The sequence below is a fragment of the Homo sapiens genome, chromosome 13, assembly GCF_000001405.40.
Source record: "Homo sapiens chromosome 13, GRCh38.p14 Primary Assembly".
NCBI classification, from domain to species: domain Eukaryota; kingdom Metazoa; phylum Chordata; class Mammalia; order Primates; family Hominidae; genus Homo; species Homo sapiens.
In genome coordinates this window covers 36,412,038-36,430,135 of record NC_000013.11, presented here as the reverse complement: position 1 = coordinate 36,430,135, position 18,098 = coordinate 36,412,038, and positions in this window count along the sequence as shown.

The following is an 18,098-nucleotide window of genomic DNA, read 5'->3' as shown; positions in this document are numbered from 1 at the left end:
CCTGTTCCATCCACTTTGCTAAACTTGGCAAAGGGAAGTGGTTAGTTTATGATTGTTTTATTGTGCTGTCTTAGAATTCTACATTGTCGTTACAAGCCTCTGGTCATATCTTAAACAGGAGAGTGAGTCCCATGAACTGATATCTATGTGTGCATGTAAATTCAGGTACGTGTATAACTTGTGCAATACTTATGGCTTTCTTGGCTTTAAAAAATATCTACACTGAGGCCGGGCACGGTGGCGTACGCCTGTAGTCCCAGCACTTTGGGAATCCGAGGCAGGCGAATCACGAGATCAAGAGATCGAGACCATTCTGGCCAACATGGTGAAACCCTGTCTCTGCTAAAAATACAAAATGTAGCTGGGCGTGGTGGCGCGCGCCTGTAGTTCCAGCTACTCAGGAGGCTGAGGCAGGGGAGTAGCTTGAACCCGGGAGGCAGAGGTTGCAGTGAGCCCAGATCATGCCACTGCACTCCAGCCTGGTGACAGAGCAAGACTCCATATCAAAAAAAAAAAAAAAGTCTTCACTGAATATTGTGTTCCAACGAGTAATGATTTATGACATAAAAACAAATTTAACTGAATAGGTGTTCCATTTTTACTTTAAAAATCTAAACTAAAAACTTGGCCTTAGAATTAAGAACAAAAGGAGCAGAGAGAGTAGAAAGGACTTTCTCACAAATTGCACAGTTTTAGTGGAATGCATAATTATAATGTTGCATTTAGCAACATTATAATCTAATCTTGATTTTGCTATGCAAATCAGGATTAGATTTGCATAGCAAAATAGGATTAGAACTCAAACATAAGTAGATTTTAATTTTTCCCATCTTTAAATAAACTATATATTTGGTAATATATTGAGAATTAAACAATATAATTGTAAATACAACTTTCTTTAATATCTAAAATATTTGGCATAACTTAAATACTAATATAACCCCTTTTTTTTTAACTTAAAAAGTTCATTGGTCGGCACTTCCAACCTGGCAGTGAATGCTCAACTAGCTTTAACTCTAGGATTAATTTTCAAAATAAGGATGACAGCTGAATTCTTTACTAGGAATTTTGTTGTTGTTGTTGTTGAGACGGAGTCTCGCTCTCACCCAGGCTGGAGTGCAGTGGTGTGATCTCGGCTCACTGCAAGCTCCGCCTTCCAGGTTCACGCCGTTCTCCTGCCTCAGCCTCCCAAGTAGCTGGGACTACAGGCGTCCGCCACCAGGCCCGACTAATTTTTTTTTTGTATTTTTAGTAGAAACGGGGTTTCACCATGTTACACAGGATGGTCTCGATCTCCTGACCTCGTGATCTGCCTGCCTCGGCCTCTCAAAGTGCTGGGATTACAGGCGTCAGCCACCGTGCCCGGCCCTTTACTAGGAATTTTTAAAACCCAAAAGTCCTATTAAAATCAATTCCCTTGTCCAAATTACAATTCAGACAGTCCTTTCAGTTTGTCAGCAATTACCCGGTATTTCAGAGGCAGTTTTTCTATTGCATTTGTTCATCCTAGCTAGTAATTAACCTCCTGTTGAAACATTTCAGTTTTTATTAATTAGTATGAAATCAGGTTGTTTTTCAGGATGAGGCTGAAAGAAAGATTTAAAAAAAAACCCGCCAAGTTTATTTAGGGACAGAGGTCCATTTAGGGACATATGTTGCCTCTTCATAACATGCCTCTGTCATTCTCAGGTATACATTTAACTAAGAACATAGTTTGAACAGTAAAATGAGAGATATATGTTGGAAAGAAACAAGGAACCAGCTGCAATTTGTGACATTTTAGCACTTAGCTCCAGGGAAGATGACTAACGGATTGAGCAAGTCCAGCTTGAAAAGCAGCCAAAACTGTACACACCTTAAGAAGCATATTTCATCAGGTAGTGAAACGTGGATCCCTTAGTACATAATGGGTGAAGTAAGTTTTCATTAAGACTTGTAAGAAGTCACCTTCTCCAAGTGAAAATGGTATGAATACATACATGAGATTAGACAAAGTCTACTGTTCATTCATTCATTTGGCAAAGTTTTTTGAGCATCCATTGTATGCCAGGCAGTAGCTGGGTATGAGTACGATAATAAAAAATGATCCCTGCCCTCAAGGAGCTGTTCCTCCAGGCAAGGAAAAATAACAGATAGTCATGGTGCAGCATAATTAGTGTTTATTTTACCATAAGGAATACAGATGTATAAAGGGGGAGCAGTTGGAGCTTAAGAGAAAAGAAACAAGGTATGTTGCTGGGAAGACTTGGAGGCAGTATCCAGATGATTAAGGTCTTAAAGACAGAGTGAGGGCCTGGCACGGTGGCTCACGCCTGTAATCCCAACACTTTGGGAAGCTGAGGCAGGCAGATCAATTGAGGTCAGGAGTTCGAGACCAGCCTGGCCAACATGGTGAAACCCTGTCCCTACTAAAAATACAAAAATTAGCCATGTGTGGTGGTGAGCACCTGTAATCCCAGCTACATGGGATCCTGAGACAGGAGAATTGCTTGAACCCAGGAGGCAGCGGTTGCAGTGAGCCGAGATCGTGCCACTGCACGCCAGCCTGGGTGACAGAGCAAGATTCCGTCTCAACAACAACAACAAAAAAAGACAGGGCAGGAAGTAAAGTCTACATATATCCTAGAAACGGGGCACCCAAAGAACGGCAATTTTCAGCGGTGCTTACCCAGCACCTTCCAAGGGAAAGCTCTAAATTGTGATGTCCAAAAATACCCCTCACGACTGTCTCTACTGGCTCAGGTACAGACTCCATGAGCAATTAACTCATCAAGAAGCCAACCTCCCAGGAACCTGGTGAGAGGAAGAAGTTTCTGCTGACTTTACTTACCATGAGTTAGTCCCTAATCATGTGCACAACTAGAGATGTATTATTAAAAATCAATTTCCCATGATGCACAGTTGAGGCCTTTCCCAGATTCTGCACCAAGGAAAAAATAATTTCAGTGGGACAATACAGCCATTTTCCATTACAAATAATTGGGAAAGTTATTTTTAATTTCTGTGGATACATAATAGGTGTATATATTTATGGAGTACATGAGATGTCTTGATACAGGCATGCAATGCATACTAATCACATCATGGGAAATGGGGCATCCTTCCCTCAATCATTTATTCTTTGTGTTACAAACAATCCAATTGTACTCTTTTTGTGATTTTAAAATGTACAATGAAATTATTGACTACAGTGTCCATGTTGTGCTATCAAACGGTGGGTATTATTCATCTTTTCTATTTTTTTGTACCCATGGCCACTTCCCCAAGCCCCCAATTATCTTTCTCAGCCTCTGGTAACTATCCTTCTACTCTGTATGTCAATGAGTTCAATTGTTTTGATTATTAGATCCCAAAAATAAGTGAGAACATGAGATGTTTGTTTTTCTTTGCCTGGTTTATTTCACTCACCATAATGATCTCCAGTTCCATCCATCCTGTTGCAAATGACAGGATCTCATTCTTTTTTATAGCTGAATAGTATTCCATTGTGTATATGTACCACATTTTCTTTACCCATTCACCTGTTCATAGACACTTAGGTTGCTTCCAAATCTTGACTATCCTGAACAGTGCTGCAACAAACATGGGAATGCAGATAGCTCTTCAATGTATTGATTTCCTTTCTTTTGGGTATATACCCAGCAGTGGGATTGCTGCATCCTGTGGTAGCTCAATTTTTAGTTTTTTGAGGAACCTCCAAACTGTTCTTCAGAGTATTTGTACTAATTTACATTCCCACCAACAGTGTACAAGGGTTCCCTTTTCTCCACATCCTCCCAACATTTGTTATTGCCTGTCTTTTGGATATAAGCCATTTTAACTGGGGTGAGATGGTATTTCATTGTAGTTTTGATTTGCATTTCTCTGATGATCAATGAGGTTGAGCACCTTTTCATATGCCTGTTTGCCATTTGTATATCTTCATTTGAGAAATGTCTAAGCAGATCTATTGCCCATTTTTTGATCCGATTATCCAATTTTTTCCCTTGGAGTTGTTTGAGCTCCTTATATATTCTGGTTAGTAATCTGTTGTCAGATGAGTAGTTTGCAAATATTTTCTCCCATTCTGTGAGTTGTCTCTTCACTTTGTTGATTGTATCCTTTGCTGTGCAGGTGCTTTTTTATACTTGATCTTAGCCAAAAGCCCAAGAAGCAGTGTGCAGGAGCTTTTTAAACTTGATGTGATGCAATTTGTCCATGTTTACTTTGGTTGTCTGTTCCTGTGGGGTATTTATTGCTCAAGAAATATTTGCCCCAACCTATGTCCTGGAGATTTTCCCTAATGTTTTCTTGCAGTAGTTTCATAGTTTGAGAGGTCTTATATTTAAGTCTTTAATTCATTTTTATTTGATTTTTGTATCTGGCCAGGGACAGGGGTCTAGTTTCATTCTTCTGCATGGGGATATACAGTTTTCCCAGTACCAGTTATTGAAGAGACTGTTTTTTCCCTAGTATATGTTCTTGGCATCCTTGTCGAAAATGAGTCCACTGTAGGTGTATGGATCTGTTTCCAGGTTCTCTATTCTGTTACATTGGTCTATGTGTCTGTGTTTATGCCAGTACCATGCTGTTTTGGTTACTGTAGCTCTGTAGTATAATTTGAAATCAGGTAATGTGATTCCTCTAGTTTTATTCTTTTTGCTTAGGAAAACTTTGGCTATTGTGGGTCTTTGGGGGTTCCATATACATTTGGGGATTGTTTTTTCTGTTTATGTGAAGAATGTCATTAGTATTTTGATAGGGATTGCACTGAATCTGTAGATTGCTTTGGGTAGTATGGACAGTTGAACAATACTGATTCTTCCAATCCAACAACAAAGAATATTTTCCCATTTCTTCCATAAGTGTTTTCTAATTTTCATTATAGGTATCTTTCACATCTTTGGTTAATTCCTAGGTATTTAATTTTATGTGTGGTTCTTGTAAATGAGATTATGTTTTTATTACTTTTTCAGATTGTTCACTGTTGTCATATAGAAATGCTATTGATTTTTATATGTTGATTTTGTATCCTGCAACTTTACTGAATTTATCAGTTCTAATAGTTTTTTGGTGCAATCTTTAGGTTTTTTCCAAATATAAGATCATATCATCTGCAAACAAGAATAATTTGACTTCTTCCATTCCAATCTGGATACCCTTTATTTATTTTTCTTGTCTGATTGCTCTAACCATACTTCCCACACTATGTGGAATAACAGTGGTGAAATTGGGCATCCTTGTTGTGTTCCAGATCTTCGAGGAAAGGCTTTCGGCGTTTCCCCTATTCAGTATGATACTAGCTGTGGGTCTGTCATATATGGCTTTTATTATGTTGTGGTATATTCCTTGTATCCCCAGTTTTTTTAGGGTTTTTAATCATGAAGGGATGTTGAATTTTATCAAATGCTTTTTCAACATCAATAAAAAACCATATGAAATGATCATATGGTTTTTATCCTTTATTCTGTTGATATGATGTATTATAATGATTGACTTGTGTATGTTGAACCATCCCCGCATGCCAGAGACAAATCCCACTTGGTCACGATGAATGATCTTTCTAATATATTGTTGAATTAGGTTTGCTAGTATTTTGCTGAGGATAAAATTTTGCATCAATATTCATCAGAGATATTGGCCTATGGTTTCCTCTTTTTTTTTTTTTTTTTTTTGAGATGGGGTTTCACTCTTGTTGCCCAGGCTGGAGTGCAATGGCACAGTCTCAGCTCACTGCAGCCTCCACCTCCCAGGTACAAGTGATTCTCCTGCCTCAGCCTCCTGAGTAGCTGGGATTGTAGGTGCCTGCCACCATGCCTGGCTAATTTTTGTATTTTTAGTAGAGATGGGATTTCCCCATATTGGCCAGGCTGGTCTCGAACTCCTGACTTCAGGTGATCCACCCGCCTCGGTCTTCAAAAGTGTGGGGGATTACAGGTGTGAGCCACCGCGCCCGGTCTGGCTTGTAGTTTTCTTTTTTTGATGTGTCTTTGTCTGGTTTGGGTATCAGGGTAAGACCGGCCTCATAGAAGGAGTTTAGCAGGGTTCCTTCCTCTGTTTTTCAGAATAGTTTGAGTAGGGTTGGTATTAGTTCTTTAAATGTTTGGTAGAATTTGGCATTGAAGCCATCAGGTACCAGGCTTCTTTTTACTAGGAGACTTTTTATTACGGCTTTGATCCCGTTACTTGTTATTGGTCTGTTCAGGTTTTGTGTTGTTTTTTTTTTTCTGGTCCAATCTTGGTAGTTTGTGTATGTCTAGTTATTTGTCCATTTCTTCTAGATTTTCCAATTTATTGGCATATGGTTGCTGAAAGTAGCCACTAATGAGCCTTTGAATTTCTGCACTATCAGTTGTAATGTCTCCTTTTTTTCATCTCTGATTTTATTTATTTGGACCTTTTCTCTTTTTTTCTTAGTTACTCTGGCTAAAGGTTTGTTTAGTTTAACTTTTCAAAAAACCAACTGTTTGTTTCATTGATCTTTTGCATTTTCTTCATTTCAGTCCCATTTATTTCTGCTCTGATCTTTATTATTTCTTTTCTTATACTAATTTAGGGTTTAGTTTGGTCTTGCTTTTCTAATTCCTTAAGATGCATCATTAGATTGTTTATTTGAATTTTTTCTTCCTTTTGATATAGGCACTTAGAGCTATCAGCTTCTCTGAGTACTGCTTTTGCTGTTTAGTATGTTGTTTTGACGTTATCATGTTTTCAAGAAATTTTTCAATTTCCTTCTTAATTTCTTCATTGACCCATTTGTCATTCAGGAGCATATTGTTTAATTTCCATGTATTGATTTTTAGTTTTATTCCATTGTGGTCAGAGAAGATGCTTGATATTATTTCAATTTTTTTAATCTTTAGGAGTTGTTCTGTGGCCTAACATATGGTTTATCCTTGAGAATCATCCATGTGCTGAAGAAAAGAATGTGTATTCTGCAGCCATTGGATTAAATGTTCTGTAAATATCTATTAAATCCATTTGGTCTGTAGTGCAGATTAAATCCAGTGTTTGTTTGTTGATTGTCTGTATGGGAGATCTGTCCAATACTGAAAGTGGACTATTGAAGTCTCCAGATATTACTGTACTGGGGACTATCTCTCTCTTTAGCTCTAATAATATTTGTTTTATATATCTGGGTTCTCCAGTGTTGGGTGCATATACATTTAAAATTATTATGTCCTCTGGCCAGGCGCAGTGGCTCACACCTGTAATCCCAGCACTTTGGGAGGCTGAGGCAGGCAGATCACCTGAGGTCAGGAGTTCAAGAACAGCCTGGCCAACATGGCGAAACCCTGTCTCTACTAAAAATAAAAAAAATCAGCCAGGAGTGGTGGCATGCCTATAGTCCTAGCTACTCAGAAGGCTGAGGCAGGAGAATTGCTTGAACCCGGCAGACGAAGGTTGCAATGAGCTGAGATCGCACCATTGCACTCCAGCCTAGGTGACAGAGCAAGACTCCATCTCAAAAAAAAAAAAAAAAAAGCCTAAAGAATCTGTATAGTTTTCAGTTGTGAAAATTCTGTTTGGAAAGAAGAAATCACAAACACATGTAACTTTTTAATAATAATGATAAGTCATAAAATTGTGTGCATGCATATGTGTTCTTTTTTGGCAATTAATATTTTTTCTGACTGAATGAGGCAGCTTGGTGGCTCTATCCATGATATCAGAATTATTTATTACTATTTTTGGTTTTTATTGACAAAGAATATCTTTTTTCATCCATCAGTTTCCATTACTGAACACGTTGCCTGATCAACAGTGAAAAAAAGTCCACCTGAAGTACAGTGTTCTCTGTGTATATGAAAAGCACAACACATTTTCATTTATTCCAATAATAGACACAGAAGTTGCATAAATGAGTAACAAAGAGTCTTATGCAAAGTTTAGTCTTTTAGGAGACTTTAGTCTTATTTAGTCAAATACACAACACAAGGTAATTAGAGTGAAGTAAAAATTTTCTAAGAAGTCCAGAGAAAGTTCTGGTTAAAAGCCACATATGTTTTCAGTTAATTACAGAAATGAGGAAAGGTTTCTTGAAAATGGTGATTTTGTGTTTAGCCTTGAAATCTGGATCTGGTTTTGATCTGCAGGGTTTGGGGAACCTATTTTAGGAAAAGAGTTCTGCATAAGTAAAGACTCTGAGAAGATGATTATAAAACATGTTTTGGATTATGCTGATGTCCTATAACACCTGAGATTATAGTAAAGGATACACTTTACAATCAGGAACATTGGGATAATGTCCTGTAGTATTTTTGAATGCTAGAATAAGGAGTTTGCTGTGGCACTTTTGAACAGAGGAATGATGAAGTTAGAGCTATATTTATAGAAGAACCATCTGAGAGCAATGAGTAGCCTGGGATTTGGGAGTAGGAGATGTTCAGGAAACACTTGCTAGAGGAAATGATGACCTGAACAGGATCATGCCCTGAACACAGAAAGAACAGGAGGTTCAGTGAAGTCACTCTGACCACAGAATCTAGATGACTTAGCAACTGACTGTATGCTGGCTTTGAAGGAGAAGATGGAGACAAACATATTTTGCAATTTCTAGGTCAGGTTGATGACAGGATAGTGGAGCCAGAAGATTAGCTAAATTCTGAGGAAAAAGAAAGTGAAGAGCAAGTTTGATTTCAGACATCTTAATCATAAAGTCTTTTCTAATAATTGCCCAGAACTGCCACATTTCCCTCCACCTCCATCCCTACATATGTATGAGTTTTGATAATAATGAATTCTCCTTATTAACAGAGATTGATTATGGAGTTGGAGATAAAAGTAGATTGATTGTAATACATTTGATACAATGTACCCCCACTGTAAAATAATTATTAGTAGTTAGACAGCTATTCTAGGAAAACCCACGAAGAGGGAAAGAGCAACAGCTTCCTGTCTACCATTTCAGGGTCCCACTCTCCCATTCAAAAGGCCCTCTTCCAAAATCGTGAGTCCCCTAGCGTCATGGATGACATCTTCCTCAACTTTGCAAGCTCTTTTCCTGGCATAGTGCTCAGAACATAGTAGGCACTTCATAAATGTTTGTTGATTAAGTGATTGAACAATAAGATGCAAGTTATGCTTGTTCCAAAAATGAGAAAAAGATGGCCTCTCTATATTGGTTTTATGTGGCTTACTTCTTCATTACTGACCAAGACCATTGGCTCAAAAGCCTGCCGGCAGCAAACTCAAATTCTTGTACAGCCAATTGTTTTAAATATGGCCCAAGAAAGCATATTTTTTAGTCATTCAGAGCCTGCCTGCTTTGCTTACCCCAGAAACTCCACCGACATCTGTTAGCCTTAGATATGCCAGACCCTGAGGCTATGGAAGACCCAAGTCCGTGCTGTTCTTCCTAACTCTCTGACCCAGAGCCTCCCACATCGTGAGGCTGAGGGACATCACCTAGCCAGGTAACCCCCTTTCTCTGATTTTCCACTCCCCAGGGAGTTCCCTTGCTCTCTTCCCCTTTGGGTGGTGGCCCCACGCCATGGTCTCTGGAAGGTCTCCAAGAGCCCTGGGCTTCACCCCCACCTACACTCCTACATGCCAGCCTGTCCAAGCACCACACAAAGCACTTTGTGTACTGCTGCCACCTGGTGGTCATATCTTTCCCCTACCAGCCCCGAAATTGCTGCTTTCATGACATTATTGTACGTGTATGAGGGAGGAAATCTGATGTATTAAATTGCTTTTTCAAACCTATGTGTTTTTTTCTTTCTTCCTTCTTAGGAATTTCATATTTTGTCACTCACTGAAAAAATTCTTAGATCTGAAAAGCTAGGAGGGTACTTGGAGATCATTTCATTAATCCCTGTCTTATGTAGGTGAGAAAACCTTGGTTCAGACCTATTTCCATCAAATTAAATTTCTCAAAGTGACGTTTCAGAAGTAAATTAACACTAATGAATTCTAATTCTAGGATTTATACTAAGAAACTAATCATAAATAGGTTCACCTATAGAGCTTTTTATAATAGAGAAATTAAAAATCATCTGTATGTTTCAGATGAAGGGATTTGTTAAATGAAGTATAGGGCAGTAGTAGTCTATAGTGACAACTATGCAGCAGTATTCTGAAAAACTATTATAGAGTCATGTGAAATTATGTAGAGAAAAAGTGACATACAGAAATGTTCATAACATATTTTATGAGATAAAGTATAAAAACAGTAAGTTTAGTATGTTGGATTTTCACTTAAAATTTTTATATGCTTGGAAGAAGCACCAAAAATAAATATGAAATATTAAGTAGTTATCTGTTTGCATCGCAGGATTAGCTGATCCTAATTGAATTCATTTGGTTTATCTGTAGTTTCTAAATTTCCTATAATAAAAATATTAATTGCTGAATAATTAAAAAATTATTAAAGAAGTCAATTATCATGGCAAGCTGCAAGTTCAAGCTAAATGTGTTATCCAGTAGAACTTTCTGGCTGGGCACGGTGGCCCACGCCTGTAATCCCAGCACTGTGGGAGGCCGAGGCAGCTGGATCACTTGAGGTCAGGAGTTTGAGACCAGCCTGGCCAACATGGTGAAACCCCGTCTCTAGTAAAAATACAAAAATTCGCCAGGCATGGTGGTGCACGTCTGTAATTCCAGCTACTCGGGAGGCTGAGGCACGAGAATCACTTGAACCCAGCAGGTGGAGGCTGCAGTGAGCAGAGATTTCCCCCACTGCACTCCAGCCTGGGTGACAAAGTGAGACTCTGTCTCAAAAACAAAAACAAAAACAATAAAAAACTTTCTGCAGTGATGAAAATGTTCTGTATACCTACATTTCCTATGCCATGTGGCTACTGAGCATTGGAAATGAAGCCATTGCAACTGAATAACTGAATCTTTAATTTATGTAGTCACAGGCAGCTAGTGGCTACCATATTGGTTAATGCAGGATAGACTAGGTGGTAGTTGAGAACAGTCATAGCGCATTAAGAGTGATCATAATTAGTCTAGATCTGCTACTGTGTATGCAAATGTGTATGTTTTTCTTGACTAGCTTCCCCCTAAGTTATTATACCATAATTTAGGATAAAGTGTACCAATAAATGATGACATGAAACCATCTATGTAGAGGTTTTTTTGAGAAACAACTACTTCATCATGTGATTTATAAGGAAGATCCATTTATAAATGAACAAGGAGAGTTCGTCCAGAAATTACATCTTCCTTGTTAAAAAACTGTTCATTCTTTTCCAAGATCATGCAATAGTCCAGAGGTAGAACAAGAACAGCTAAAAGATCAATCTGGATTCTGCTAACCTGGCAAATTAACCCAACTTTTATCATTTAACTTTATAGATATACTACCTACTTAAATATGCTGAATGCTAGACTTACTTATATAATAGTAGTGTAAATTGTCGCTTAAGCTTCATTTTTGTTACTAAAGTTGTTATGTTAAATTTTGTGACCAAATTCATACCCTCCTTCCATAATTTAAGAATTTGCCTCTCAGATTGACATTCAGACTTGTGATATCCTCATTCCTCAGACAATGCTTCATCAGCACCCAAGATAAATCCTTATCTGAGATATGTTGCTTCGTTTCTTGCTTCGTGACTTAACAGACCCGTTATTTGTGTAAATGAGCCTTATTGGAATACAATGAGCTGCCTATCTGCTTTCTGGAAAATATGAAATAGATCATTTACGCAGCAGTGTGCTCACAGTTCTGCGTTTTGATACTATTGTTATTAGACTAACAGGTTCATGTGCCTGCTCTCAGACCAATACACTGAGACAGCAGAGAAAGTTTAATGATTACGAGGCAGACCAGTGGTAAGATGGGAGGAGACTCTTAACTCCATCTCCCTGAGGTGTTCTGGGCTGAAGTTTTTAAGGGGATTATGGAGAGTAAGGGGCTGGAAAATTGGAGTCATTGATTGGTTAGGGTAAGGGGCATGAAATCATCAGGATGTGGAAACTGCATTCTTTGGTGAGTCAGCTCTTTGTGGTATCCTTCAGAGCAGCTGGTGTTAGTAGTTTTACTGGTACAGGGGAACTGAAATCATATCTCAAATTGAAAACTCAATATTTCACAATGCTTCTGTTATCTATAGAGCAGTTAAGAAAAACGATAGTCTTATGACAAGGTCTAGTGATTCTGGAACGTTAAGCAGCAAACAATTATAAGGAAGCTGGTCAAAGAGCAGGCTGACCTAATGATTAATGTGACTATGCCGAAAGATTGGTTTATTTTTGTTTTGTTTCTCCACCTCCCTTATTTCCTGAGTAATTTTATAAAATTTATAGGGACAGTTTCACTTTTAGAACCAAAAATTTCTATTACTAGTTTACTTAATTGTGTAGACTTACTTTTCAATAGATAGATTCCAGAGTGCTTTCCTTTATATACTTATTTACCTAATAAAGCAAGCATACTGTATTGTGATGAAAAATTCTGGAGTTGTGATGAGAATAACATTAAGTATTAAGATGGTAAGTTTTTCAAGTAGAAATTTTCTGGGAGAAATCCTCACAATTACAAGGAATATGGAAGATATACAGCTAGAACTATGACTTTTTTGGCTTTCAAGTCCAAGATTATTTATAACAAATTAGAATTTTTTTCTGAAGCTAGCAGGCACAGTTACTAAAAGAGGAAGAGAAATAGAGTTTGCAATTCAGGCTGGAGGGAACCAAAGGAAGCCAGCGAAATAGGTCAGTTTAACAGCTTGTTGCTATACCAATCCTTTAGGAGAATAATCTGAAAGATTATTTACCCAGTCAGTGAAAATAAATTCAACTAAATAATGATAAAATACTGTGTACTTTGTAAGTGGGATTTGGAAATAATGGCATACTCTAAGCAATATTCGAGATGATCAATATAACAAATATTTTCTTTGTTTCTATTTACTTGCTTTGAATCCACAATCAATATTTTACCCCACCAGAAGCAGATATTGAATCATGTTTAAGCTGTCTTTGTGTTATAGGAAGCTGGCCTTTGATCCTTTTCCTGAAGAAGTACATAAAAACAAGATAGAAATTTGCTTTTTTGATAAGTCAAGAGGTATAACCAACATAGAAACTTCTGAAATTCTGATTAACTATTGATTACAAGCTAAGACCACAACAATAGTGAGGGGGAAACACTCCAGAATAATTGAAGGCCACCAAAAGAAACAAAAGGGAACACTTTCTTAGACTGGGATAGACAGGGCTGGGCATGTCCTCTCACATGTGTTGAGGTGCAGTGCTCTGTCCTCCCTCTAATATTAATAAACTGGAATTTGTTGGGGGTTAATCATCTGTCGGTTCAACAACAGCAATGGTTTCTGTGTGATAAGTAAAATGCAATTTCTAACTCATATGAGTGATTTAATAATCTGTAGCAATGTATTTCAAGGGCAGTTCAGGGTGGAACTGATTTTAAACATATCCATTTAAATTTTGTCTTAGATCATTAATCAGAAAGACTTTATTAATCTTTTTTCCTACAAGCCACATCTCATCCCTCTCTTCATTTTCCACTTCAAAACTGCACTTTTGAGAAAAGATGGGGATCTGAATTGTATAAAAACAAAGTTGTACAGCATTTTTTTAAACTTCCAACTTTTATTTTAAGTTCAGGGGTACATGTGCAGGATGTGTAGGTTTGTTACATAGATAAACATGTGCCATGGTGGTTTGCTGCACAGATCATCCCACTAACTAAGTATTGAGCCCAGCATCCACTAGCTATTCTTCCTCATCCTCTCCCTCCTCCCACCCCACGCTCTCTGTCAGGCCCCAATGCATGTTATTCCCCTCCATGTCCACATGCTCTCATCCTTCAGCTCCCACTTATACGTGAGAATGTGCAGTATTTGGTTTTCTGTTCTTGCATTAGTTTGCTAAGGATAATGGCCTCCAGCTCCATCCATGTCCTTGCAAGGGACATGATCTTCTTCCTTTTTATGACTGCATAGTATTCCATGGTATATGTGTACCACATTTTCTTTATCCAGTCTATCACTGAAGGGCATTTAGGTTAATTCCATGTCTTTGCTATTGTGATTAGTGCTGCAATGAACATACACATGCATGTATCTTTATAACAGAATGATTTATATTTTGGGGGTATCTACTCAGTAATGGGATTGCTGGGTCAAATGGTATTTCTGCCTCTAGGTCTTTGAGGAATTGCCAGTCTTCCACAGTGGTTGAACTATTTACACTCCCACCAACAGCATAAAAGCATTCCTTTTTCTCCACAACCTCATCAGTATCTCTTGTTTTTTTGACTTTTTAATAATAGGCATTTTGACAGGTGTGAGATGATATCTTACTGTGGCTTTGATTTGCATTTCTCTAATGATCAGTGATGTTAAGCTTTCTTTTATAGGTTTGTTGGTTGAATGTATGTCTTCTTTTGAAAAGTGTCTGTTCATGTTCTTTGCCCAGCTTTCAATGGGGTTATTTTTCTTCTGTGAATTTGTTTAAATTCCTTATAGATGGTGGATATTAGATCTTTGTCAGATGGATAGACTGCAAAAATTTTCTCCCACGCTGTAGGTTGTCTGTTTACTCTGTTGATAGTTTCTTTTGCTGTGCAGAAGCTTTTTAGTTTAATTAGATCCCATTTGTCAATTTTTGCTTTTGTTGCAATTGCTTTTGGTGTCTTCATCATGAAATCTTTGCCTGTGCCTATGTCCTGAATAGTATCGCCTAGATTTTCTTCTAGGGTTTTTATAGTTTTAGATTTTACATTTAAGTGTTTAATCCATCTTGAGTTTATTTTTGTATATGAAGTAAGGAAGGGATCCAGTTTCAATTTTCTGCATATGGCTAGCCAGTTCTCCCAGCACCATTTGTTAAATAGGGTATCCTTTCCCCTTTGCTTGTTTTTAGCAGGTTTGTTGAAGACCAGATGGTTGTAGGTTGCAGTCTTATTTCTGAGTTCTTTATTCTGTTCCATTGGTCTCTCTATCTGTTCTTGTACCAGTACCATGCTGTTTTGGTTACTGTAGCCTTGTAGTATAGTTCGAAGTCAGGTAACATGATGTCTCCAGCTTTGTTCTTTTTGCTTAGGATTGCCTTGGCTATTTGGGCTCTTTTTTGGTTCCATATGAATTTTAAAACAGTTTTTTCTAATTCTGTGAAGAACGTTAATGGTAGATTAATGGGAATAGCATTGAATCTATCAACTGCTTTGGGCGATATGGCCATTTTCATGTTATTGATTCTTCCTAGCCATTAGCATGGAATGTTTTCTATTTGTTTGTGTCATCTCTGATTTCTTAGAGCAGTGGTTTGTAGTTCTCCCTGAAGAGCTCCTTCACTTCCCTTGTTAGCTATATTCCTAAGTATTTTATTCTTTTTGTCGAAATTGTGAACGGGAGTTCATTCGTAATTTGGCTCTCAGCTTGCCTGTTGTTGGTGTGTAAGAATGCTAGTGATGTTTCACATTGATTTCATATCCTGAGACTTTGCTGAAGTTGCTTATCAGATTAAGAAGCTTTTGGGTTGAGACAATGGGGTGTTCTAAAAATAGAATCCTGTTATCTTCAAACAAAGATAGTTTCACTTCCTCTCTTCCTATTTGAATACACTTTATATCTTTATCTTGCCTAATTGTCCTGGCCAGACCTTCCAATACTATGTTGAATAGGAGTGGTGAGAGAGGGCATCCTTGTCTGTCTTGTGCTGGTTTTCAAGGGTAATGCTTCCAGCTTTTGTCCATTCAGTATGATATTGGCTACAGGTTTGTCATATATGGCTCTTATTATTTTGAGGTATGTTCCTTCAATACCTAGTTTATTGAGAGTTAATATAAAGGGATGTTGAATTTTATTGAAGGATTTTTCTGCATCTAGTGAGAAAATCATGTAGTTTTTGTCTTTAGTTTTCTTTATGTGATGAACCACATTTATTGATTTGCGTATATTGAATCAACCTTGCATCCTGGGGACGAAGTCTACTTGATTGTGGTGGATAAGCTTTTTGATGTGCTGCTGGATTCAATGGTTTGCCAGCATTTTGTGGAAAATTTTTGCATTGATGATCATCAAGGATATTGGCCTGAAGTTTTCTTTTTTTGTTGTATCTCTGCCAGGTTTTGGTATCAGGATGATGCTGGCCTCCTAGAATGAGTTAGGGAGGGGTCCCTCCTTTTCAGTTGTTTGGAATAGTTTCAGTAGGACTGCTACCAGCTCTTCTTTGTACCTCTAGTGGAATTCAGCTGTAAGTCCTGGGTTGTTTTTTTTTTTTGGGGGGGGGTTCGTGGGCTATTTATTACTGCCTCAATTTCACAACTTGTTATTGGTATATTCAGGGATTCAACTTCTTCCTGGTTTAGTCTTCAGAGTGTGTATATGTGCAGGAATTTATCAATTTCTTCTAGATTTTCTAGTTTATGTGCACAGAAGTATTTATAATGTCTCTGATGGTTGTTTATATTTCTGTGGAGTCAGTGGTAATATCCTTTTTATCATTTTGATTGTGCTTATTTTATCTCCTTCTGCTCTGTGAAGACACAATGAGAAGACTGCCACTATGAATAAGGAAGTGGGTCCTCACCAGACACTGAATCTACAGGCACCTTGATATTGGAGTTCCCAATTTCCAGAACTGGCATTTCAAGATCAAGGATTCAGCAGGTTTGGTTTCTCCTGAGGCTTCTCTCCTTGGTTTGCAAATGGCTGTCTTCTTACCCCGTCCTCACATGGCTTTTTCTCTGTGCATACATCCCTGGTGTCTCTTCCTTTTCTTATAAGGCCACACACAGTTCTGTTGGACTAGGGCCCCATCCTTATGATGTCATTTACCCTTAATTACCACTTTAAAGGCCCTATCTCCAAATACAGTCACACTGGAGGTTTGGGCTTCAACACAGGAATTTGGGAGGGAGGCACAGTTAAGTCCATAACAGCATTTTGGGAATAATGATGTCAGAAAAAAATGTATCAGTGTTGCCATTGGAAAATGGAAATTATATTCACTTTGATTTACTATAATCATATTCATGTGTTTATTCATTTGGGAATTCTTTATTAAGCATTTACTCTGTAAGACACATACTGTTCTGTAGTCCTATGATCTGTGTGTTTTGGTTATCTTCTGTTGCATAACAAACCACCTCAAAAACTTAGTAACTTAAAACAACAACAGTATGTATTTTGCTCACAAATCTACAAGATGGTCAGAGTTCTACTTGATGTTAGCTGAGGCAGCTCAAAGACTAGCCACGGGAATCATCTGATGGCTCATTCACTTACATATCTGGCAGATGATGCTTGCTTTTGGCTGAGACCTTAGTCTTGGCTATTGGCCTCTCCATGGAGCCTGGGTTTCCTCAAAACATGGCACTGGTTCAGAAACAGGGATAGACAGAAACATAAAAAGATCACCAGGCAGACACTATCTTGCCTTTTCCAACCTAGCCTCAGAACTCACACAATGTCACTTTCAGAACATTTCATTTGTTAAACTTGAGTCACTTAGGTTGGCTTATATTCAAGAGAAGCGGAATTGGGTTCTATCTTTTTATAGGAGTAGTGTCAAAGAATTTGTAGGCGTGGTTAAAACCACCATGCCATGTTGATATAGTTTGGTTCTGTGTCCCCACCCAAATCTCAGCTCAAATTGTAATTCCCATAATCCCCACATGTTGAGGGAGGGTCCTGGTGGGAGATGATTGGATCATAGGGTGATTTCCCCCATGTTGTTTTCATGATAGCAAGTGAATTCTCACGAGATCTAATGGCTTTATAAATGGCAGTTTTCCCTCCTCTCCTCCTTCCTGCTGCCTTGTGAAGAAGGTGCCTGCTTTCCCTTCACCTTCTGCAACAATTCTAAATTTTCTGAGGCCTCCCCAGCCATGCAGAACTTCAAGTCAATTAAACCTCTTTCCTTTATAAATTACCCAGTCTCAGGCATTTCTTTATAGCAGTGTGTAAATGGTTAAACATGAATATGGTAAATACCTTAAAGATTTTCTGTGGCTTCAATGATTGAAAAACTTTACCCTAAAGAACAATAATACCAAAGACAAAACTACAACAAAATGTGAGTAACTGTTAAGCCAAAATATAGACCAGGTTATTTGAAGAATGTTGTTTGTTTTTGTGTTTTACCAAATTAGTCCTCAGAGAAAAAGAGTTACTTAACGCTATAGACTAAATGTTTAT